General features: G+C 45.1%; 1 protein-coding gene across 4 annotated transcripts in view, besides 1 other annotated feature; it reads right to left on the bottom strand.

Moving 5' to 3' along the window:
• The window catches only part of TUBA1C (tubulin alpha 1c), a 46,675-nt gene extending 40,128 nt beyond the window's left edge, over positions 1 to 6,547 (bottom strand). For 3 of the 4 annotated variants that reach the window (NM_001303115.2, NM_001303116.2, NM_001303117.2), the window contains exon 1: positions 6,307 to 6,454. Coding sequence is in view for 1 of the 4 variants with exons in the window: in NM_001303114.1 (NP_001290043.1) it covers positions 6,307 to 6,519 (213 nt within the window). In the remaining 3 variants the exon portion in view is untranslated. Of the gene's footprint in view, positions 1 to 6,306 lie in introns of all 4 variants that reach the window. The other variant, NM_001303114.1, reaches the window with a different exon arrangement.
• Positions 10,974 to 11,208: a silencer, noted in NCBI's record as "fragment chr12:49617048-49617282 (GRCh37/hg19 assembly coordinates)". NCBI's record gives its function as "represses an EF-1alpha promoter that drives an FKBP-Casp9 reporter gene in an ReSE screen in K562 erythroleukemia cells {active_cell/tissue: K562}" and the evidence as "EXISTENCE:reporter gene assay evidence [ECO:0000049][PMID:32094911]".

Genomic DNA, 24,311 nt, shown 5'->3' with positions numbered 1-24,311 from the left:
CCACAGCCTCCTTTCTGCTCTGCAGAGAAACCTGGAAGCCTACTCTGGTTTGGAGAGTAGTGTTTCAACGAACTTAACGGTTTTTAGCGCTTGCCACAGCTAAACAGGGTGGACTTGATTTTTAGGGTGTCCTTGTTATTTAAGACAATGCTAAAGGAGAATGAAAATTAGAACCTGGTAGGGGACTGCTTTCATTTATTCTCTCCTGCTTTAATGGGATTTACAACATATTAAAAGCAGTTATCAGAGGCAAATTGGATAAATGGGCTAGGGGTTGCGTTTCAAGGTGGAGGCGTTTGTCATTTCTGACTGTGGCCCCTCGTTTTTATTCCAGGATCGTTGCAGTGCCATTTCTAGGTCCCTCCTCCTCTCCCCACTTCCCTTTTCTCTGCACCCATTTGACAGGAGCCTCTGCAATCATCTGCTTATTGCGCGTCACCGTCATCCAGTGGGAGAGCCTTGTGGTACCACCTTTCTCCACCTATGGCTGCGGCCCGCAGGAAGATGACGGGTTGCGCTTCTGCTCTGGAGCCAGCCCTGTTGCCGGGAACTGCAACCCGCAAGATGATGCCAGAGCTCAGCTTCCCTCTTTTTATGTTGCAGAGTTTATGCTGCCCTGCACTGAGCAGACGCTTTCGCTTACGCAGCCCTGCCCTTCACCTTGCCCAGTGATTCCGGAATAACCTTCCGGACCCTCCTACTTGCAGAGGTTCGTTGCTTCAAGCGTCATAATCATTCATCTCCGTTTTTCCTCTAGTGATGAAGGCTCGTGGACGGACCACGGTTCACTCGGTCTAGGAGTCACGCTGTTGATCAGGTTGTCAGACATCAAAATTCCCATCTCCCATCAGGGCACAGCTATAGGGCTCTGGGTCAAAACAGGGCCTTCTCTTTTGTCTGGTAGCACCAGAAACACGGTAATTGGGAACCCATCAGGAATGGAAGGCTCCTTGAGGCCCTGGAGATGGAATGTTGGGCCCCCAAGTCCTGAAAGGAACCAGTGGGGCTGTAATCTTCACAATCTGGATCCAGCCAGAAGAGCACTGAGAGCTCAGTGTTTGGAGGACAAAAAAGGGCAATGGATATACAGTAACTTAGTGAATCAGGGCCCGGATCCAGGAAGATGCCTGACATTTGTTTATCAGCAGAGAAACAGAAGTAAAGGAGGGGAACCTTCTCCTAAGTGTTACTGTGTTATGAAAGTGTCCTTCAGGGAGAGGCGACATGAACAGGGCAGCTGATAACGTTGATACTGTGCAGGCACACATCTCCCCACATTCCCCAGGCTGCTGAACCAAGTGTACCAAACTAATCGCAAGGACACAGCTTTGAGCCTCCCCGGCGGCAGTCCCTGGAGAGAGTCCGCTCAGACAAAGCAAAGCGCGCTCCCAGCGGGGAGGGGTGGCCACTTTTTCTTTGTTCTCCCTTGGAAAATCGGCTGTCTCTCAAGTCTCGTAAACCAGCTGCTTTCACTTCTTGCAGGGGGTCAAAATCAATTAATCACCAATCATGTTTGGACAGCACAGTTTTGAAGCCCTGAACTCTGTGAAATGCAGGGTCAAACTATTTTTAGAATTTTAACATGCCGTTAAGTTTGTATTCTGAGTTTCCCAGCAAAAATTTCTGAAATGTGCCCCACTTTGAAAAAATAAAATAAAAAGAACACCTCCAGAAAAAAGGTGGTGGAGACAGAGTGTTTGGGATTGTACTTAACCCCAAAACGACAAGTCATACATCTTACACTTAGGAATCTCTTCTTCACAGAAGTATAAGTTACTGAGCAGATATCTTTGCCTGCTGAGAAGCCCCTTCAGCAGTAAAAGGGAGAGCTCTCTGAGAAACCTCAACTTTCTACATTATAAGTGATATTTTTTTCTCATAAGAAGGATTTAACATAGCGCCTTTTTAAAAATTCAGAATTGCCTATCCCTGATTTAAGTGGGGGATCAAGACAAAGGGTGCCTGACTTCTGTATCAGGAATAGGCGTGCCACTCCCCAAGCACTTGGAGCATCTGCTGCCTGGGCTGATTCTTAAACCGAAATCCACACGTGGCTTGACAGCTGAAGTGCCCTTTTATGTCCAGTTGGAATTTCATGTTGGGCAGGCTGCAATGAGTTCATATCCAAACAGAAAATGGGTTCTGTGGGTCAGAGAAAGCTTACTGTGCTGAGAAGGACAAGGTGGACATTTTGTAAATACTATAGGTTTATTTCCGGGGAATTTATCCGCAAAAATGAGGTTGCTTCATTCCCTTCACACAGCATCCTCAGGCCCTTTCAGACAGTTTCTGCTCTTTGGATTTCATCTGCTTGCTAAATATCCACTCCTGTTGTGTCCAGAACAAGGGACTATCTGCAGGTTACTGTGAAAGCAAGCGTTGGGTGGCCCTGAGGGCAGCTCCTCCCAATCAGCTCTTGTCCTCCTTCTGTCAGGCCCTCTGGAGGAAATGAGAGCCACCCCCAGCCAGGAAATCAGCCCAGCATTAGCGTTTAGGGATAGATGATCTAATGGCTCAGGTTCTATAGGTGACGTTCAGGCAAGCTTCTACAATAATTCTGAAGCTAGACACAGAACATATGAGCAGGTGTCCAAGAATTATGGATGCCTCTGAAAGTAACAGAAGGCCAGGCGCAGTGGTGCATGCCTGTAATCCTAGCCCTTCAGGAGGCTGAGATGGGAGGATCAATTGAGGCCAGGAGTTCGAGACCAGCCTAGTCAACATAGCGAGACTCCATCTATCTATCTATCTATCTGTCTGTCTGTCTGTCTGTCTATCTATCTATCTATCATCTATTTTTTTTAAGTAGCAGAAGTTTAAAGAAAAATAGCCATGGCACATACGTTCACAATACTACGCCGTGTTCTCTCCAGTGTTAAGGAGATTAAATTTAAAAGTTGTAAGCACTTTGAGGGCAAGAGCCCTGTTTCGCACTTCCTTTATATTTCGCACAGTGCCCAGCAAGGTATTACACATGCAGTGGTCACTCGGAATACTTAAAAAAGAAATTAGTGCTGGCTCACACCTGTAATCCCAGCACTTTGGGAGGCTGAGGTGGGAGGATTGCTTGAGCCCAGGAGTATGAGACCAGTCTGGGCAACACAAGATCCTATATCTACAAAAATTTTTTAAAAATTAGAGCTGGGAGTGGTGGTGCATGCCCGTAGTTAGTCCCAACTCCTTGGGAGGGTGAGACAGGAGGATCACTTGAGCCCAGGAGTTTAAGGCTGTAGTGAGCTATAATTGCACCATTGCACTACAGCCTGGGCAATAGAATGAGACCCTGACTATAAAAAACAACAATTAAAAAATAATGATGGACTAATGGAACAACAAACAGCTGTGCTCTGAGATTAAGCCTGTTTTTATTGTCACTTCTGAGGAAGCTAGACAGTGATACTTTATAGCCAGAAAACAGAAGTGGAGATGGTGCAACCTTTCTAAATAACAATGACAGCAGCTGACCTTCCTGTATACCAGAAACGATACTAAGTTCTTTTCATACATTATCTCATTTATATCTGACCACACCCCACAGACTTAAGTATTACTATTAGGATTACGCTTATTTTCCAGATGACAAAACATTACCCAAGTCACACCGCTAGTAAGTGTCCACATCAGGACTTGAGTCCAGCTCTCAGTCAGTTTCCAATGCTTTCAGGCAAAATCCTGCACCAGAACATCTCATGATGACCTCCATAGCTCCATTTATTAACCACCCTGCTTTGAGCCTTGCAACCTAATATCTGAAGTGAGAGGGATAGTCCTTCAGAGCAAACGAGCTCAAATAAAATTTAAAAAGCAATACATGATTTGAGAGGGAGAGGGAAAAGGGTCAGCACAGGCACAATTCATAACGGAACATGTCGCAGTATGCCTGGGCTTGATGTCTTCTCCTGTGCATTTTCTAGTTTAATCCCCATGGCACCCTGTGGAGGATGTTATTGTTATCTCATATATAAGGAATAAATGTCTGGAGAACAGCTGGGCTCAAGAAAAAGGTAAATGCTCAAATATTCAGAGGCAGAGAGGGAACGAATCTACTGATAACACTGTACCTGCCCCAGGCCTCTCACTTGGGCTCACAGTACTGGCGTGGGCGTGTCTCACCTTTCCTTCTTCTCCTATGTTTTTAGTAACACTCCAGCCAGCCAGAAAGCTTGCACCTGTCTCTCCCTGCCCCATAAATACAAATATGGTTAAATGTTGACTTGTATGCCATTAAACCATTTCAAAAGCACAGATGAGGTCAAGAGAAAACAGTACAAGTCATTATGCATGGAATGCTATGTAAGAGTTAAATAGAATGAATTAGATTTAAGCATACTGCCAGGTAAAGATCTCCACAAGGCATAGACTGTTCTAAAAAAGAAAAAAAAAAAAAAGGCCAGGATGTTGACTTATGCCTGTAATCCCGGCACTTTGGGAGGCCAAGGCAAGCAGATCACGAAGTCAGGAGTTTGAGACCTGCCTGGCCAACATGGTGAAACCTTGTCTCTATTAAAAATACAAAAATTAGCCAGGTATGGTGGTACACGCCTATAGTCCCAGCTACTAGGGAGGCTGAGGCAGGAGAATCGCTTGAACCCAGGAGGCAGAGGTTGTAGTAAGCCTATACTGTGCCATTGCAGCCTGGGCGACAGAGCAAGACTCCATCTCAAAAAATAAAATAATGAAATAAATTTAAAAAGAAAAAAAAAGCAAGTTAAGAATAAAAAGCACAACATGGCACCATTTATCTCTTAAAAAGTCACACAAAACAATGTGATGTGCACACACACACACACACACACACCTCTATGCAAACAGGTAAGAAATAGTTGGTTACACCCCCAAATTGTTAACAGGGGTTTCTTTGGGGAGAGGACTGGGTTTGGGGTGAAGTGAGCAGTACCGGCAGACTTTTCCTTTGTCTTTTTACAAGATAATTTATTCGTATAAGGGGTATGTAAAGAAAGAAAGGACAGAAAAGAAACAAGTGATGCTGTTAAAAAATAGACTGGGTGTGGTGGCTCACGCCTGTAATGCCAGCACTTTGGGAGGCCAAGGCGGGCGGATCACCTGAGGTCAGGAGTTCAAGATCAGCCTGGCCAAGATGGTGAAACCCTGTCTCTACTAAAAATACAAAAATTAGCTGGGCATGGTGGTGCACAGCTGTAATCCTAGTTATTCGGGAGGCTGAGGCAAAGAATTGCTTGAACCCAGGAGGCAGAGGTTGCAGTGAGCCGAGATTATGCCACTGCACTCCAGCCTGGGCGACAGGGTGAGACTCTGTCACACGCACGCAAAAAAGATAAAGGTTCGCAACATGCAGTAAAGTGGGGAAAGTGATACAAATACACCAAGCTAAAATCCACCGCCTCCTTCATGTCCAGGGAAGACCAATAGATTAGAGGAGTGTCCTCATGTTGACATTATTAATACTTTAATGATTTTCTAAATTTAATGTCTCCTGTGTCTACCAGAAATATATTCCTGAGAAGTTCAATAGACTTGGAAGCAGACCACCTGGGTTCAAGGCCCGACTGCCTTTCTCTGTAACCTTGGGCTGGTTTCTCAAAGCCTTAGTTTCCTTATCTGCAGAGTGGAGAGGATAGTAACACACTTCACAGGGTGCCCTGAGGATTAAATGAGATAACGCATAGGAAAAGCCATCCAAACCTGGGGAACAGAGACTTGTAAATTGCAGATTGTGTTAGCGCCTACTCTCTTCCCATTCTCTCCCTCCCACTTCACAGAATTGTTTTTCCTCACACCTTTAAGATGTCTGAGTATCCCACACTAAAGTAGAGTAAAATTAATAAATCATTCTTTAGTATAATATTTGCTGATAACAGGCCTCTTGTAATTTGAGACTTTAGATTCTGCAGATGCATGGTTTTTAGGCTTCAATAGCCTGTATTCATGCATGTATTTTAAGGGATATGCTCATTTGATTCCATTTATAAAATATGCCTCTTCCCTGTGCAACCCACTTTTGATTCAGAAACTAAAATATTCAAATCAGGGAGGCCATTTAAAGTATAAGACAAAAATATAATTAATGTGTTTTGCATCTGAAAATATGTCTATTTGTGGTCCTAATAAAACTTCAGACTGCTCTGAAATTTCAATATTCCAATAATAAGCCTTATAATAAAAAGGATTGCAGAAATAATAAGATAAACACTAATGCCACCAATATAATTAAACATGAAACAATAAATAGGAGCAAATTCACAAATATCAGTTGCATGCACACAGTACCATGTCCAAGCCGTGCATGATGAAGCTATTTACATTACATTACTATTACAGCCTTACCTTTGAATCACAGCCAGGTTCTCCTCTGCTTTTGCTGGATGTGCATGTGTTAAAAGGCGCAGGGAGCTGAAGAGTCCTGGTGAAGTAAATAAGAATCCAGTTAGAGATGTACAGTTTTGCATTCAGAAAGGATCCATTTGAAGGATCTAATTCCAAGCACACAAAGCACTCATCCCTCCCTAGCTCCTCCACCCCATTGAACCAGGCTGTCATTTTAGAGCTGGGCGCCCATTGTTCACTTTCTTCTACTTTAATTAGATTTGACAGATTGCTCTTTCTGGCTAGACTGGCTGTTGCCAAGAACAGAGAGAAGAGATGAGGCTGACCTTGTCATTGTGCCATTGGGATCAGGTCCCCACCCCCTCCGCCATCCTAGTCCACAGATCACTGAAATTTCTCCTTAGTGGCTTCAAATCTATTCCTCTTCTCCTCTAGCCTCTTTCCTACATGCCTCCTGGCAGTCCTAGCACCTCTGAGTTTTCTTACTCTCAATACTGTGGGCTTCAAAGCCTAGGTAGGCTGTGGGAGTAGAATAAGTGGTGTTGTTGTGTTTTTTCATAACAATACTCTGACCCTGATTTTTTTCTTTTTTTCTTTTTGAGACAGAGTCTTGCTCTGTTGCCCAGGCTGGAATGCAATGGCAAGATCTCAGCTCATTGCAACCTCCGCATCCCAGGTTCAAGCGAATCTCCTGCATGAGCCCCCTGAGTAGCTGGGATTACAGGCATGTGCCACCACGCCCAGCTAATTTTTGTATTTTTAGTAGAGACGGGGTTTCACCATGTTGACAGCTGGCCTCGAACTCCTGACCTCAGGTCATCCCCCTGCCTCGGCCTCCCAGAGTGCTAGGATTACAGGCATGAGCCACCGCGCCTGGCCGGCCTTGGTTTTTTTCTGCAGGCCTATTGGTAAAAACAGACCAGCTTTTCCAAAGGGAAATGTAACTGCAGTTCCACTCAGGAGCCAGGAAATATTGATCGCTTAATGAAGTAGAGCTCAGCAAGGACCCACGGATCTGAAGCAAACCCCGTGCCCCGCTGCCCTGTTTCCCATCTGTGAAATGTGGCCAATAACTCCTGAACCTTCACCATCTCAAACACACATTATATTGGTATTAGGTAAGAACCAGACAATAAAATGATAGAATGGGAAGTGATCTTAGAGATCATCTAGTCTAATAACTTTTCTTGGAATATTAAAAAACACAGACCAAAAGTGAGAAGTGACAAGACAGTGTCATGAAATTAGTTAATAGATGTTTAACACCTGGCACTATGCAAACGGCCTCTGATCAGTTTTGTCACAAACCTGCCTTTCTCCAATTTATCCTATGCTTGATAATAAACTATATTGGCCAGGAAAGCACTTTCTTTCTCTTTTTTTTTTTTTTTTTTTGAGACAGTGTTTCGCTCTTGTTGCCCAGGCTGGAGTGCAATGGCACGATCTCGGCTCACTGCAACCTCCGCCTCCCAGGTTCAAGCAATTCTCCTGCCTCAGCTTCCCGAGTAGCTGGGATTATAGGCATGCGCCACCACGCCCAGCTAATTTTGTATTTTTAGTAGAGACAGGGTTTCTCCATGTTGAGGCTGGTCTCGAACTCATGACCTCAGGTGATCCACCCACCTCGGCCTCCCAAAGTGCTGGGATTACAGGCGTGAGCCACCGCGCCCAACCAGCACTTTCTTTCTCTGAGGAAAGAATCTCCTCACCCAAGGACTGTATTTTTATTTTTCTTATTTTTTTGAGACAGAGTCTCACTCTGTCGCCCAGGCTGGAGTGCAGTGGCGTGATCTTGGCTCGCTGCAACCTCCACCTCCCAGGTTCAAGCGATTCTCCTGCCTCAGCCTCCCAGGTAGCTGGGACTTCAGGTGCCTGCCACCACACTGAGCTAATTTTTGTATTTTTAGTAGAGACAGGGTTTCATCATGTTGGCCAGGCTGGTCTTGAACTCCTGACCTAAGGTGATCTGCCCACCTCAGCCTCCCAAAGTGTTGGGATTACAGGCATGACCCCCCACGCCCAGTCAAAGGACTATATGTTTAGAAATGCTGAATTTACTGAGTTTACTGGGAACTCAGTGGTCTTGTACTAGAACCTGAGTCACCAAATGCCACACAACTGTCATAGAAGAACAGGATGGACCTCAACAGGCTGGAGGCCTGGGCCCTGCTCTTACATAGGAGTGGCCCTGTCCCTGACCCAGCTCTGGCCACGCCCGTGGCCTCAAGAGCTGTGAGCAGGAGCAACCGGTAGGAAGTTCTCCTTGGAACAAACTTAGTGTTTACCGGGTTGTAATATAAACCCATTCAAGTACAGTTCATTCAACTGCTCAAAAGCATTTATTAAAAGCTCATTATTTGCTAAGCCCCTGTGGGCTGATAAGGCTACTCCATTGAGTAAGACACAGCCTCAAGGAGGCAGCAGTGTCAACACCTAACATGCAGGGGAGCACTGTGGGGCCTTGGTGGGAGGAGGAAATACTGTTTTCCTTGGTTGAGGTTCAAGGAATCAGAAAAATGTCGAAGGAAGTGATTCTTCGCTGGGCACAGTGGCTCATGCTTGTAATCCCAGCACTTTGGGAGGCCAAGGCAGGTGGATCACAAGGTTAGGAGTTCGAGACCAGCCTGGGTGAAACCCTGTCTCTACTAAAAATACAAAATATTAGCTGGGTGTGGTGGTGGGCGCCTGTAATCCCAGCTAGCTACTCGGGAGGCTGAAGCAGGATAATCGCTTGAACCCGGGAGGCGGAGTTTGCAGTGAGCCAAGATCACGCCATTGCACTCCAGCCTGGGTGACAGTACGAGACTCCATCTCAAAAAAAAAAAAAAAGGAAGTGATTCCTGAATTGAGCTTTGAGAAATAAGGGATATCTGGGGATGGGAGGAGGGATGCAAGTACATGGCGTTGAGATAGAGAGTGGGCCTGGTGTTTTGCTGGAAAAAAAGGAAGTTTGGGGCTTGCATAGCACCAAAGATGAGATTGGGAATTTAGGTAGAGGTCAATGGAAACACTGTGTGACAAAGGGAGAAAGCTGGATTTTCTATTGGTAGCTCCTGGGAACCACGGAAGAGTTCTAAGCAGGGAAGTAAAATGATCCAAACTGTGTTTTAGAAAGATGGCCTGTAGGCTGGGCATGGTGGCTCACACCTGTAATCCCAGCACTTTGGGAGGCTGAGGTAGGAGGATTCCTTCCACCCAGGAGTTCAAGACCAGCCTGGGCAATGGAGCAAGACCCCATCTCAATTAAAAAAGAAAAGAAAAGAAAGAGAGAGAGAAAGAAAGAAAAAAAAAAGAATGAAGAAGAGAAAAGAAAAAGAAAAAAAAGGCTCTGGCCAGGCACGGTGGCTCATGCCTGCCATCCCAGTGCTTTGGGAAGCTGAGGCAGGAGGATCACTTGAGCCCAGGAGTTTGAGATCACCCTGGGCAATACAGTAAGACTCCATCTCTACAAAAATTGTTTTTTAATTAGGTGGGCATGGTGCACCTGTAGTCCCAGCTACTCAGATGCTAAGGTGGGAAGATCACTTGAGCCCAGGAGGTTGAGGCTACGGTGAACCATGAGCGTGACACTGCACTCCAGCCTTGGCAACAGAGTAAGATCCCTCCTTAAAAAAAAAAATAGAAAGAAAGGTGGCTCTGATGGCAGCATGGAAGATAGTTTGGAGGACAGGTGGGAAGGATTCAGCTCAGGGGCCATGTATTCTAGGAAACCTTTCCTGAGCTCTCAGGCAGAGCTGTCGGTGCCTTGTCTGGGCCTCTGCAGCACCCATGCTCTGACACTTAGCCTATTTGATTTGTTTATATGTCTGCCTCCCTCATCAGAGTATAAATTTCCCAAAGACTGAGACTTATTTCTTTTACATATTTATGTAAAATACACCTACCACAGCATATAGCCCTAGATATACTTTTATTTATTTATCTTTTATTTTTTGAGTCCGGGTCTCACTCTGTTGCCCAGGCTGGAGTGCAGTGGTGCAATCACAGCTCACTGCAGCCTTGACCTGCCAGGCTCAGGAGATCCTCCCATCTCAGCTTCCTGAGTAGCTGGGACTACAGGCACCTGTCACCGCATCCAGATTTTTTTTTTATTTTTTGTAGTGACAGGGTCTTGCTGTGTTACCCAGGCTGGCCTTTCTTTCTTCTCTTCTTTAACTGCATTTTTATATGCTATGTTATATGGTTTCTTGTGTAATATCCTCACTCTAGTCCTACTGAATTGCAATGGACATTGTTTCTTGTCACCCCAGTTTCTCTTCCTGTACTCTGACAATAGGCCTGATTTTTTTCAGGGAATTCTCTGCTTTTGGTCTTTGCGATCTGATTAGGGCTTCCCCAACCTCTAGCTCCAGGGTGAAGGACAAGATTTAGGCCTAAATCAGCCAGTCCATCCTAGCTAATTGGTTTGAGGTAAGCATGTGCTCTAAGCCTTCCTAATCAGATTAAATCTAGGGACTTTCTCCAGAGTTACTGGAAGAAGAGTTTCTCTCTCTCTCTGTCTTCCTGCTGGACATGGAGTTAATTAATTGGTGACAGGGCTGCTGTAGCCATTTTGACACCAAAGGGATAAGCCTGTTTGAGAATGAAGCTAATACATGGAGGAAAACCCAGAAAACTGGAGAGAGAGAGTCCCGGGGATGGGAGCAGAGCTCCTCTCTAATCAGCAACTCTCCCTGCTAGTTTGGAAACTGTGTATTTGGTAATGGTGAGTGTTAATTCATTTACACCTGTGAGGTTTCTTTCTCTATTTTTTCCTTTATTTTTCTTTTTGTTTTTTTGTTTTTGAGATAGGGTCTCACTCTCTTGCCCAGGCTGGAGTGGAGTGGCACAATCACAGCTCATTGCAGCCTCCACCTGCTGGGTTTAAGTGATCCTCCTGCCTCAGCCTCCTGAGTGGCTGGAGCTGTAGGCATGCACCATCATGCCTGGCTTTTTTTTTTTTTTTTTTTGTAGAGACAAGGTCTTACTATTTTGTTCAGGCTGATTTCAAACTGTTGAGCTCAAGCGATCCTCCTGCCTTGACCTCCCAAAGTGCTAGAATTACAAGCGTGAGCCACGAGGCCGGCCTATTTTTTTGGTGGAGGCCAAGCTTCGCTCCCTGTCCCCTGTTTTGAGATGTTTGGCAGCTAAAGACCGATAACAAGGTATAGGAACAATGGATTGCTAGTACTCAAGGAGAAGGATCAAAATGTCTGCGTTTCCCATGTAAGTGAAAGTTAGGGAGGGAGCTCAAGACTCTTTTTAAAGAATGTATCTCTTCCCATCTTGTTCAAAGCTTTCAGTAAGTGTTATTCGGTTATATAAAACTCAACCACATCTATCCAAGCAGTCTCACGAGTTAGGAATTTGACCAGCTGTCCATGAGGAAGTGGGCTAAAAAGCCAAGCATTCTCTCTCTCTCTCTCTCTCTCACACACACACACACTCTCTCTCTCTCTCTCTCTCTGTCTCTATCTGTCAGATTTCAGTGCTTAGCAGTACACCACATACATGCTATTTATTCACATAGCTTGTTCCTTATTTTCAGTTATTTTTGTCCTCTGTAAAGTGGGAAGCATTAAGGAAAGCAAACTTCCTAGTTCTTCTTCTTCTTTTTTTTTTCTCTTTTTTTAAACGGAGTTTCATTCTTGTTGCCCAGGCTGGAGTGCAATGGCATGATCTCGGTTCACTGCAACCTCCACCTCCTGGGTTCAAGTGATTCTCCTGCTTCAGCCTCCCAAGTAGCTAGGATTACAGGCACCTGCCACCACGCCCAACTAATTTTTTGTATTTTTAGTGGAGACGGCATTTCACCATGTTGGCCAGGCTGGTCTCGAACTCCTGACCTCAGGCAATTCGCCCTCCTCAGCCTCCCAAAGTGCTGGGATTACAGGCTTGAGCCACCACACCCAGCCTAGAGTCTTTATTCTTATACTAGCATCCTGCCCCACTGTTTTCCAAATATTTACTATTATTTCTTCCTAATATATTTGCAAATATGTAGTTTAACCATTGGTTATTTAATAACAATATTATGGACTTGCAAAATCTAGCATTTATTAAAGAAGCCAGTCACAAAAGATCACATATTGTATGATTCCATTTATATAAAATGTCCAAAACAGGCAAGTCCTTAGTGACAGAAGTAGATTAGTAATTACCAGGAGCTAGGAGGAAGGGATAGAAATGGATACAGGATTTCTTTTGGGAGTGGTGAAATTGATTTTGATGATGTCTGTGAAACTCTCTGAATATACTAAAAATAGTTGAATTGTGTACTTTCTTTCTTTCTTTTTTTTTTTTTTTGAGAGGGAGTCTTGCTCTGTCGCCCAGGCTGGAGTGCAGTGGCGCGATCTCAGCTCACTGCAAGCTCCACCTCCCGGGTTCACACACACCATTCTCCTGCCTCAGCCTCCCGAGTAGCTGGGACTACAGGCATCTGCCACCACGCCTGGCTAATTTTTTGTACTTTTTAGTAGAGACGGGGTTTCACCGTGTTAGCCAGGATGGTCTTGATCTCCTGACCTCGTGCTCCACGTGCCTCGGCCTCCCAAAGTGCTGGGATTACAGGCATGAGCCACCGCACCCGGCGAATTGTGTACTTTCAATAGGTGAATCGCTATAGTATGTGATTTTTACCTCAACAAAGCTATTTAAAAATCTAGTGCTATTTCTTACTGGATTTTGAAAGAGAATTAAAAATTTTGGCCAGGCACAGTGGCTCACACCTGTAATCCCAGCATTTTGGGAGGTAGAGGCAAGTGGCTCACTTAAGCTCAGGAGTTCAAGACTAGCTTGGACAATGTGGTGAAACCCCATCTCTACAAAAAATACAAAAATTAACCAGGCAGGGTGGTGCACACCTGTACACGCAGCTACTCAGAGGCTGAGGTGGGAGGATGGCTTGAGCCTGGGAAGTCGAAGCTGCAATGAGCTGAGATTGTGCCACTACACTCCAGCCTGGTCAACAGAACGAACGACACTGTCTCAAAAATAAAAATAAAAAATTCACTTCCCCATTTGCCAACATTTCTCTAAAGTAGGTGAGCAGTCTTCAGCTGGGCCCTCTCCCTAACTTAGTTCTCCCTACTTGGGTCCATTTCCCTGCTCTCTGCACCCCCATCAACAGTTTAATCTGCCCAGAGCTCAACCCTGGAAGTCAGGATTCTCCTCCCTGCACCACCAGACTCTGTGCCTTTGCCAACATGGTTCCTTCCATTCAACCTGTGTGTTCAGGGCCCTGACTGCATGTCACCTCTTCAAGGGCCTTTCCTTTCCATTTCACTGGGAGTGGTCTGCCCTCCAGGGTACAAGAAGTGACATTTCAACCAAATGTTTTGATACCACACAGCAAGGCGTCATCAGTGTTCTAGTCTGGATTCTTTGGGCCTGCACCACCCACCAGTGACCCTTTTCACTAAGTTAATGCCACATTTAATTTTCCTTATTATAGCATCAAAGTCTATATTTTATTTTGTTTGTTTGCTTTTGCTTTCTTCTGCCCATTATTTGATCCTTCCCCTCTTCTTTTTCCCATCTCCTCACTTCCATTCCCCCTTCAAGCCCTTCCCTTGGTACCTGGCTAATTCTTGCTAAATATTCAGGACTCTGGAAAAATGTCATCTTTTCCAGGAAGGTTTCTCTGACACCTCCCCTCACCCCTAGGATTGTGGCTGAACTGAAGTAATGGCAAGGGAAATGTAGAGAAATAAACAAATTGGAAAAATATTAAGGAGGAAGATTTGGCAGAACTTGCTAATGTGAAATAAAGCCTAAAGATCAAACAAAATAAGCAGTGAATTTGAGATACCAATTTAGTCATTTCATGTTTTTTCAAGCTTTGTGCCATCTACAGTTTTTTTTTGTTTTTTTTTTTTTTGAGACGGATTCTTGCTCTGTCATCTGGGCTGGAGTGCAGTGGTGTGATCTCGGCTCAGTGCAACCTTTGCCTCCCGGGTTCCAGCAATTCTCCTGCCTCAGCCTCCCAAGTAGCTGGGACTAAAGGCGCATGCCACCACACCTGGCTAATTTTTGTATTTTTAGTAGAGACGAGGTTTCACCATGTTGGCCAGGCTGGTCTCGAACTCCTGACCTCGTGATCTGCCCGCCATGGCCTCCCAAAGTGCTGGGATTACAGGCGTAAGCCACCACGCCTGGCTGTCATCTACAATTTTAATAAGAAAGATAGATCCTCCTGCCAAACGTGTCTTCCTTAAACATCTGTTATAATATTGCTTTATTGATGGAGGGCCTTTTACGACTCTCTGGTTACTAATGCACCAAGCCTAAACTCTGCCTTGCTTTAAAGGCCTTCCTAGTTGGTCCAGCCCTTCCCATTGGCTCCACCCAGCTGTGGTCAGGCTGGCTGCTCCATCCTCCAGGACAAAGTCTTGCTCACTCCTGCTTGTAACGCTTTTGCCACCACCTCACCTGCAGCAGTGCATTCCCTACGCTCATCTCAGGGACCATTTAAGGCTCAACTTCAAGGTTATTCCTCATGAAAGGCTGCTTGCCTGTTCCACGCCTTCTTGTGCCCTCTGAACTTCTGAAGCATTCAATTTAGCACTTAATTATATATGCTCATCTTACATAATCTACTGTTGCTTTCATGTGTGTTAGTCACGTTTCCCTCAACTAGATTATAAATTTGTTGAGTGCGGGAACCATAATTTATACTTCTTTTTTTTTTTTTTTTGAGATGGAGTTTCGCTCTTGTTGCCCAGGCTGGAGTGCAATGGCACGATCTCGGCTCACCACAACCTCCGCCTCCAGGGTTCAAGCAATTCTCCTGCCCCAGCCTCTCGAGTAGCTAGGATTACAGGCATGTGCCACCACGCCCAGCTAATTTTGTATTTTTAGTAGCGACAGGGTTTCTCCATGTTGGTCAGGCTGGTCACAAACTCCCAACCTCAGGTGATCCACCCGCCTCGGCCTCCCAAAGTGCTGGGATTACAGGCGTGAGCCACCGCGCCCGGCCAATTTCTACTTCTTTAAGATCATACGTTCTGGAATCAGACTATGCTCAAATCCTGGCTCTCCTACTTGCTAGCTGTATGGCACTGGGCAAATGGCTTAACTTCTCTATGTCTTAGTTCCTAATTTTTTTTTCTTCTTCTCTTCTTTTCTTTTTTTTTTTTTTTTTTTTTTTTTTTTTTTGAGACAGAGTCTTGCTCTGTTGCCCAGGATGGAATGCGGTGGTGCAATCACGGCTCACTGCAACCTCCGCCTCCCGGGTTCAAGCGATTCTCCTGCCTCAGCCTCCCGAGTAGCTGGGATTACAGGCACCTGCCACCACGCCAAGCTAATTTTTGTATTTTTAGTAGACAAGGTTTCATTGTGTTGGCCAGGCTGGTCTCGAATTCCTGACCTCATGATCCACCCACCTCGGCCTCCAAAGTGCTAGGATTACAGGTGTGAGCCACCTTCCCTGGCCAGTTCCTAATATTTAAAATGGAGATAATAAAAGTATCTATCTCATAGGCCGAATGCAGTGGCTTACGCCTGTAACCCCTATGCTTTGGGAGGCCGAGGTGGGTAGATCACTTGAGCTCATGAGTTTGAGACCAGCCTGGGCAACATGGTGAAAACCTATCTCTACAAAAAAATACAACAATTAGCTAGGCGTGGTGTTGCATGCCTGTGTTCCTAGCTACTTGGGAGGCTGAGGTGGGAGGATGTCTTGAGCCCAGGAGGCAGAGGTTGCAGTGAGCCTAGATCGTGCCACTGCACTCCAGCCTGGACGATACAGCCAGACCCTGTCCAAAAAAAAAAAAAAAAGAAGAAGACCTATCTCATAGGAGTGGCCATAGGCCTTAATGAGGCAACTCATGTACAGAGCCCAACAGACAGCTAGCAAATTCTAAGAACTCAATAAACATTAGTTAGTATTATTATCTCCCACATTGCTTACATGTCATCAAACACTGAGTGGATGCTTAACAATTAATTTTTGCTGATTTAATAGGTTGCATATAAATCTCTTTTAGATGCCTAAGAGAATCAGAAACTCTTTGGTTGAGGAAAAAGAGGTGTATTTGTACAGATAATAATAATTATTTTTATTTTTATTTATTTATTTTTTGAGACGGAGTCCCGCTCTGTCGCCCAGGCTAGAGTGCAGTGGCACCATCTCAGCTCACTGCAAGCTCCGACTCCTGGGTTCATGCCATTCTCCTGCCTCAGCCTCCCAAATAGCTGGGACTACAGGTGCCTGCCACCACTCCCGGCTAATTTTTTGTATTTTTAGTAGAGACGGGGTTTCACCATGTTAACCAGGATGGTCTTGATCTCCTGACCTCGTGATCCGCCTGTCTCGGCCTCCCAAAGTGCTGGGATTACAGGCGTAAGCCACCGTGTCTAGCCAATAATAATAATTTTTAAATGTTTATTAGGACAATTTTACTTCCCAATTTTTGAGGTGCATTTCACCATTGCCCCCATGTCTTCACCTGCCTCCTGGAGCCCAGGTGAGGAATCAAGAGGATTGTCTCTCTCACTTCATAAAGACACCAGGAATGAGCATTAGAAAGCAAAATGTGAGGCAGGAGGATGGCTTGAGACCAGGAGTTTGAGGTCAGCCTGGGCAATATAGTGAAATCCCATCTCTACAAAAAATAAAAATAAAAAAAATTAACCAAGTATGGTGGCACACGCCTGCAATCCTAGATACTCTGGAGGCTGACACTGGAGGATCACTTGAGCCCAGGAGTCTGAGGTTACAGTGAGCTATGACTACATCACTGCACTCCAGCCTGAGTGACAGAGCGAGACCCTGTCTCAAAAAAACCAAAAATCCTCTTTTATGTAGTTTTCTGTTTTTGAATGCATGTGCCTCAAATAAACAAACATAAATTACTGTACTGGCCTGTTGGCAGTTGAGGCAACAAGATGTCTAGCAGAGTGCAAGACAAAAATAAAGGAGAGAAGAAGGTAATTAAAGACCTAAGGCCATACTCTAGACGCACAGTATTATTATATTTTATATTCTACCAATTACCATGCTTGCCCCTCCCCCTACTCTACAAACTAACTGGCATCAACCAGCTTATCTGGAAGACCTAAGCTTTGAGTCCCACATGGTCCCTGGACTGCATCCTGGCAAAATCCTTATTGCTCAAGTTTCTATGGAGAAAACAAATTATTGTTGTCAGGGAGGAATATGAGACTGCAGAAGCTGACACTATCTGCATGGCCATGGGAGGTATGTGGGATCTACACCAACGTAAAAGATTGTAGAGGCCAGGTGCATTGGCTGACACCTGTAATCCTAGCACTTTAGGAGGCCAAGGTGGGCGAATCACCTGAGGTTGGGAGTTCAAGACCAGCCTGGCAAGCATGGTGAAACCCCATGTCTATTAAAATACAAAAAATTAGCCAGGCATGATGGTGGGTGCCTGTAATCCCAGCTACTCAGGAGACGGGAGAATTGCTTGAACCCAGGTGATGGTGGTTGCAGTGAGCCGAGATTGCACTACTACACTCCAGCCTGGGCGGCTGAATAAGACTCCATCTCAAAAAAAAAGAAAAAAAAAAAGATTGTAGAATGTGAATTGTTCTGAAAAGAAATTCTACGGGAATATTTCTCCCCTGTTACATTTAAATATCATATTTTCCAAATGAAAGATTAAAAAATAAGAGCTTTTTGGAAAATGGAATTGATTGTCTTAGGATGTGAAGATACAAGACCTGGAGACCAGAAGGCATTTGCATAAATTACAATCCCACCTGCTTTATGGGCCCTTTGGCCACAACCTCTTAAAGTGAAGGACAAAAGACAAAGGGCCACAGTCATCAGGCCAGGTGGGATGCGAGGTCACGGAGGCCAGGGGTGTCATGAGAAGAATGAGCATACCTGGCTTCCAGCGTGGTTCCGCCACCACCTGGCTCTGCCTCTTTGGCATGGTCACTCCACTTTCTGGTCTAGGCTCCTCGTCAGTAGGATGACCAGTGAGGGACAGGGATGCCATCTCTCAAGCTCTTTCCACACTGGCATTTCATGACTCTGTTGAGTCTAACAAAATCTGTGCGTTGTTTTGGGCTTTAGGTTACTATTTCCCTCAAAAATCACTCTTTCTCCTTCTTTTCCTTCTCTCCCCCCTGTATGCACACCCTGTCCCTCTCTCCCTCTGACTTTCAGCTCAGAATCTGAAAAATCTTTCTAAGCCTAAATATATTGGTTACAATAATGTGCTCCTTACATTTTTTAACCTGGGGTCTCTGGTAGGCATTTGCTGAAAGCTTGAATTTAAATCTGTAGTTTCTTTTTTTTTTTTTTTTTTTTTTGGTGAGATGGAGATTTACTCTTGTTGCCCAGGCTGGAGTGCAATGGTGCGATCTCGGCTCACCGCATCCTCCGCCTCCCAGGTTCAAGCGATTCTCCTGCCTCAGCCTCCCGAGTAGCTGGGATTACAGGCATGTGTCACCACGCCCGGCTAATTTTGTATTTTTTTTTTTTTAGTAGAGACAAGGTTTCACCGTGTTGCCCAGGCTGATCTCAAACTCCTGACCTCAGGTGATCCGCCCACCTCGGCCTCCCAAAGTGCTGGGATTACAGGCGTGAGCCACTGCGCCCGGCCTAAATCTGTAGTTTCAAAAAAACAAGGAGGATGATAACACTGAATGTATGGTCACGTAGAGTGATTTCAAGGCAGTTTCCCTAAACAAATTCAACAGTACTTCTGCACAAATCTGATGAATATACTGTTTCTCTATTTCCCTTCAAATGGTCCCTTAAAATCAGGATCACTCTAAAGTCTCCATAATTGTTCTAAACCACATTGGGTCTTTCCATGCGGTCCTCTGCTACCATTTCTTAGCAAGCAGTCAGCATAAAAAAGGACTGGGTCAGCTCTCTGTGTGTCAGTGCTTGGCAGCACAGCTCCCCTGGGATGTGTCTCCTGGCACTTACCCAGCCTAGCTATCAACAATAAAAGCTTCTCTTTGTGCTTCCAGTAAGTCATAAATAAATCTCTTCAATCCCACCTGCTTTCTGAGAAGAGCTTTTTAACCATGTCCTTTACTTTGTGTTAAAAAAGACAGGGTTGCTGCTTTAGGAGTATAGTTTTAAAATGTCCACTAAGCAATTGCTCCCTTTCATTGTTTCCTACTCCCAACATTTAGATGTGTAATTTGAGTTACAGTCCCTTTAGTTGCCAGGTTCTGAGACTGGACTGCTTTCCCACTTTATGCTAATTGCCTTTTGAAGCTGCCCAGCCCTAAGTAATCCTCTTGTATAGAAAGTGTTAGCTGAGGAAGGAAGGGTTGATTCTTTGAGCAGCAGGGAAGGCATACCCTCCCCAGAACAGCAACTGCTCAAGGGGTGGGGGCAGTGACCTGCCTGGACATGGCTTCAGGAACTCTAATAACTATCACCAAAAGACAAGAGGGCCAGGATATTGGCCCCTAGGAGAGTACCAGCCACAAGACCAACACTAAAAGAAGAACAAGGCTAGTCGTGGTGGCTCACGCCTGTAATCTCAGCACTTTGGGAGACTGACTGAGGTGGGCGGATCGCTTGAGCCTAGGAGTTCGAGACCAGCCTGGGCAACATAGCAAAACCCTGTCTCTACTAAAAATACAAAAATTAGGCCAGGCAAAGTGGCTCATGCCTGTAATCCCAGCACTTTGGGAGGCTGAGGCAGGTGGAACGAGGTCAGGAGTTCAAGACCAGCCTGGCCAAGATGGTGAAACCCTGTCTCTACTAAAAAATACAAAAAAATTAGCCAGGCCTGGTGGCGGGTGCCTGTAATCCCAGCTATTTGGGAGGCTGAGGCAGAGAATTGCTTGAACCCCGGAGGTGGAGGTTGCAGTGAGCCGAGATCGCACCACTGCACTGCAGCCTGGGCGACAGAGCGAGACTCTGTCTCAAAAAAAAAAAAGAAAAAGAATTAGCCAGGCGTGGTGGCGTGAGCCTATAGTCCCAGCTACCTTGGAGGCAAAGGTGGGAGGATCCCTTGAGCCCAGGAGGTCAAGGCTCCAGCAAGCTGAGATGTCGCCACTGCACTCCAGCCTGGGTGACAGAGCAAAACTCCGTCTCAAAAATAAACCAACCAAACAAAAAAAACCCAGCAAAATAGATTTCCTATTTAGCCAAAGAAGAAAATAGTTAACCTTGATTGCAGTCCAAACAGGTTGGATTTCTTAAACACCACTCATCAGAAATCTCTGAAACATCAGGCCTCATATGACTGTTCTGAGGTAAACATTAATCCTATTTTCCAGCAAGCTGTAGAATGAGGTCAAGCACATTTATTTTCTACTGCAGTCAATGTTGGAATTAAAGAAATCGGCTGAATCCATTCTCAAAATTACATAAATGAGTCACTTCAGCTGATTCATCATTGAGTTCATATAAGCAACTTGTTTCCTGGGGCATTAAAAATTGAAGTACGAATTTTTTGCCTCTTACATCCCACGGGCCATCAAAGAGGCCCAGAAGGACTAGATATGAATATTACCAGAAAGAGTCTCCCGTCTGAACTCTGGTCCCTATAAAAGGAAATAGATTCTCGTGTTTGTCTATACTTCCCCTCTCTCGTAATGCCAAACTCTGCAAGAGAACTTTGTGGATATTCCCACAATTCAGATGAGTTTTCTACATTTTAAAAAAATTATAAGCCAGGTGTGATGGCTCACACCTGTAATCTCAGCATTTTGGGAGGCTGAGGCTAGAGGAGTGCTTGAGCCTAGGAGGTCAAAGGCTGCAGTGAGCCATGACTGTGCCACTGCATTCCTGCTGGGCAACAGAGAGAGACCCCGTCTCTAAATATATACATATATTTATTTATGTATATATAAATAAATATATATATGTATATATATTTACAAATATATACATTATATATATATATATAATGTAAAAATTAAAATCATAATTATAGGACCAATGTCCATGAACTTCCCACCCCCTCAAGAACTGGAGCGTCAGGAACCACATCGTGATGCAGGACTCTTGATGGAGCTCCGCATGCTCCCGCCCGGACAGCAGCCCTTTCCTCCCACATGGAAGAATCAGTGCTTATTCTCTTGCTTTTCTTGATGGTTTTGGTACATATGTGTGCATAATTGGACAAAACTGTTTAGTTTTCTGGCCATCTGTATTAGTTTGCTATGGCTGCTAGAACAAAGTACCACAAACTGGGTGCCTTAAACAACAGAAATTTGTTGTCTCAGTCCTGAAGCCTAGAAGTCCAAAAGCAAGGTGTTGGCAGGACTGGTTTGTTCCCAGCGCCGTGCAGGAAGGATCTGTTCCAGTCCTCTCTCCTTGGCTTCTCCATGGCCACCTTCTCCCTGTGTCTGTCTGCCTTCTGTGCAGGTCTGTATCTCTGTTCAACTTTCCTCTCTTTATGAGGACAACAGTCATAGTGGATTGGGGCCCACTCTAATGATCTCATTTTAACTTGATTACAACTCCCTGAAGCTGATGAAGTCTCTGCAGGGGCCGACAGCTGCAGGCATCTGCCAACAACTCTCCAGTAGCAGGGACAACAAGCCCCTTAGTACAGGGGGATCGGGGCAGTGCATCACAGTGTCCACAACACTGGCTGTGGAGTCTGCCAAAATGGAGTCTTGCGACCGGGCGCGGTGACTCACGCCTGTAATCCCAGCACTTTGGGAGGCCAAGGTGGGCAGATCACGAGGTCAGGAGATCGAGACCACCCTGGCTAACATGGTGAAACCCTGTCTCTACTAAAAATATAAAAAATTAGCCGGGCGTGGTGGTGGGTGCCTGTAGTACCAGCTACTCGGGAGGCTGAGGCAGGAGAATGGCGTGAACCTGGGAGGTGGAGGTTGCAGTGAGCCAAGATCGTGCCACTGCACTCCAGCCTGGGTGACAGAGTGAGACTCCGTCTCAAAAAAAAAAAAAAATGGAGTCTTGCTGTATGTGGCGTGATCTCGGCTCACTGCAACCTCTGCCTCCCGGGTTCAAGTGATTCTCCTGTCTCAGCCTCCCGAGTAGCTGGGATTACAGGCGCCCGGCACCATGCCCATTTAATTTTTTGTATTTTTAAAAGTAGAGATGGGGTTTCACAATGTTGGCCAAGCTGGTCTTGAACTCCTGACATCAGGTGATCCACCACCTTGGCCTCCCAAAGTGCTGGGATTACAGGTGTGAGCTATCTCGCCCAGACTTAATATTTTCTTTTGTTTCTTTCTTTCTTTTCTTTTTTTTTTTTTTTTTGAGACAGAGTCTCGCTGCGATGCCCCAGCTGGAGTGTAATAGTGAGATCTCGGCTCACTGCAACCTCCGCCTCCGGTGTTCAAGTGATTCTCCTGCTTTAGCCTCCCAAGTATCTGGGATTACAGGTATGCACCATCATGCCTGGCTAATTATTTTTTGTATTTTTAGTAGAGATGGGGTTTCACCATGTTGGCCAAGCTGGTCTCGAACTCCTGACCTCAGGTCATCCACCACCTCGGCCTCCCAAAGTGCTGGGATTACAGGCATGAGCCACCACGCTGGCCCCCAAAATTTTTTAAATTAAATTAATTAATTAATTAATTAATTTTTGAGACAGGGTCTTGCTCTGTTGCCCAGGCTGGGGTACAATGGTGCGATCTTGGCTCACTGCAACCTCTGCCTCCCAGGCTCAAATGATGCTCCAACATCACCATCCCAAGCAGTTGGGATTACAGGCATGCACCATCACACCCAGCTAGTTTTTGTATTTTTTTGTAGAGATGGGATTTCACCATTTTGCCCAGACTGGTCTCGAACTCCTGGACTCAAAGGAGTCCACTCACCTCGGCCTCCCAAAGTGCTGGGATTACAGGCATGATCCACTGTGCCTGGCCTCAAACTTTATTAATACTTTCAAACACATTCAAAAGTAGAGAGAATAATATAACCTGTCTCTCGTTATTACTATTATTATTGTTTTAAATCAGACTTCATGTCATTTCACCCTACATACTTGAGTACCTATCTCTTACAAATATGGACATTTTCTTACATAGCCTCAATGTAATTGTCATACCTAATAAATTAACAATTTCTTGGTCCATATTCAAATTTCCCTGATTACCTCAAAATAAATTATTTTGTAATTGGTTTGTTTGAATTAGTATCCAAATGAGGAGAACACATTATTTTGGTTATGTCTCTTTTATTTTATTTTATTTATTTATTTATTTTCAAAAAGAATCTCACTCTGTCACCCAGGCTGGAGTGCAATGCCGTGATCTTGGCTCACTGCAACTTCTGCCTCCCGGGTTCAAGCTATTCTCCTGCCTCAGCCTCCCGAGCAGCTGGGACTATAGGTGGGCCCCACCACGGCCCAGCTAATTTTTGTATTTTTAGTAGAGACTAGGTTTCACCATGTTGCCCAGGCTGGTCTCAAACTCCTGACCTCAAGTGATTTGCCCACCTTGGCCTCCCAAAGTGCTGGGATTACAGGCGTGAGCCGTCAAGCCCGGCTTCTTGTCTTTTAATCTGAAGCCATTCCTCTTCCATTTTTTTTAAATCCCCATGCCATTGTCCTGTTGAATAAACTGGGTCAGTTGTTGATATAGTTTGGATATTTGTCCCCGCCCAAATCTCATTCTGTGTTCTCACTTATAAGTGGGAGCTAAAAGATGAGAACACATGATCACATAGAGGGGAACAATACACACTGGGGCCTACTGGAGGGTGGAGGGTGGGAGGAGAGAGAGGATCATGAAAAATAACTAATGGATACTAGGCTTAATACCTGGGTGATGAACTAATCTGTACAACAAACCCCCATGACACATGTTTACCTATGTAACAAACCTGGGCATCCTGCACACAAACTCCTGAACTTAAAATAATAAGTTAAAAAATAATAATAATAGCCGTGCATGGTGGCTCACGCCTGTAATCCTAACACTTTGGGAGGCTGAGGCAGGTGGGTCACTTGAGATCAGGAGTTCGAGACCAGCCTGACCAACATGGTGAAACCTCGTCTCTACTAAAAATACAAAAATTAGCCAGGTGTGGTGATGCACATCTGTAATCAGCTACCCAGGAGGCTGAGGCAGGAGAATTGCTTAAACCTAGGAAGCGG

This window comes from Homo sapiens, chromosome 12, assembly GCF_000001405.40.
Source record: "Homo sapiens chromosome 12, GRCh38.p14 Primary Assembly".
NCBI classification, from domain to species: domain Eukaryota; kingdom Metazoa; phylum Chordata; class Mammalia; order Primates; family Hominidae; genus Homo; species Homo sapiens.
Note: the sequence above shows the minus strand (reverse complement) of the source record. Positions and strands in the feature narration are given on the sequence as shown.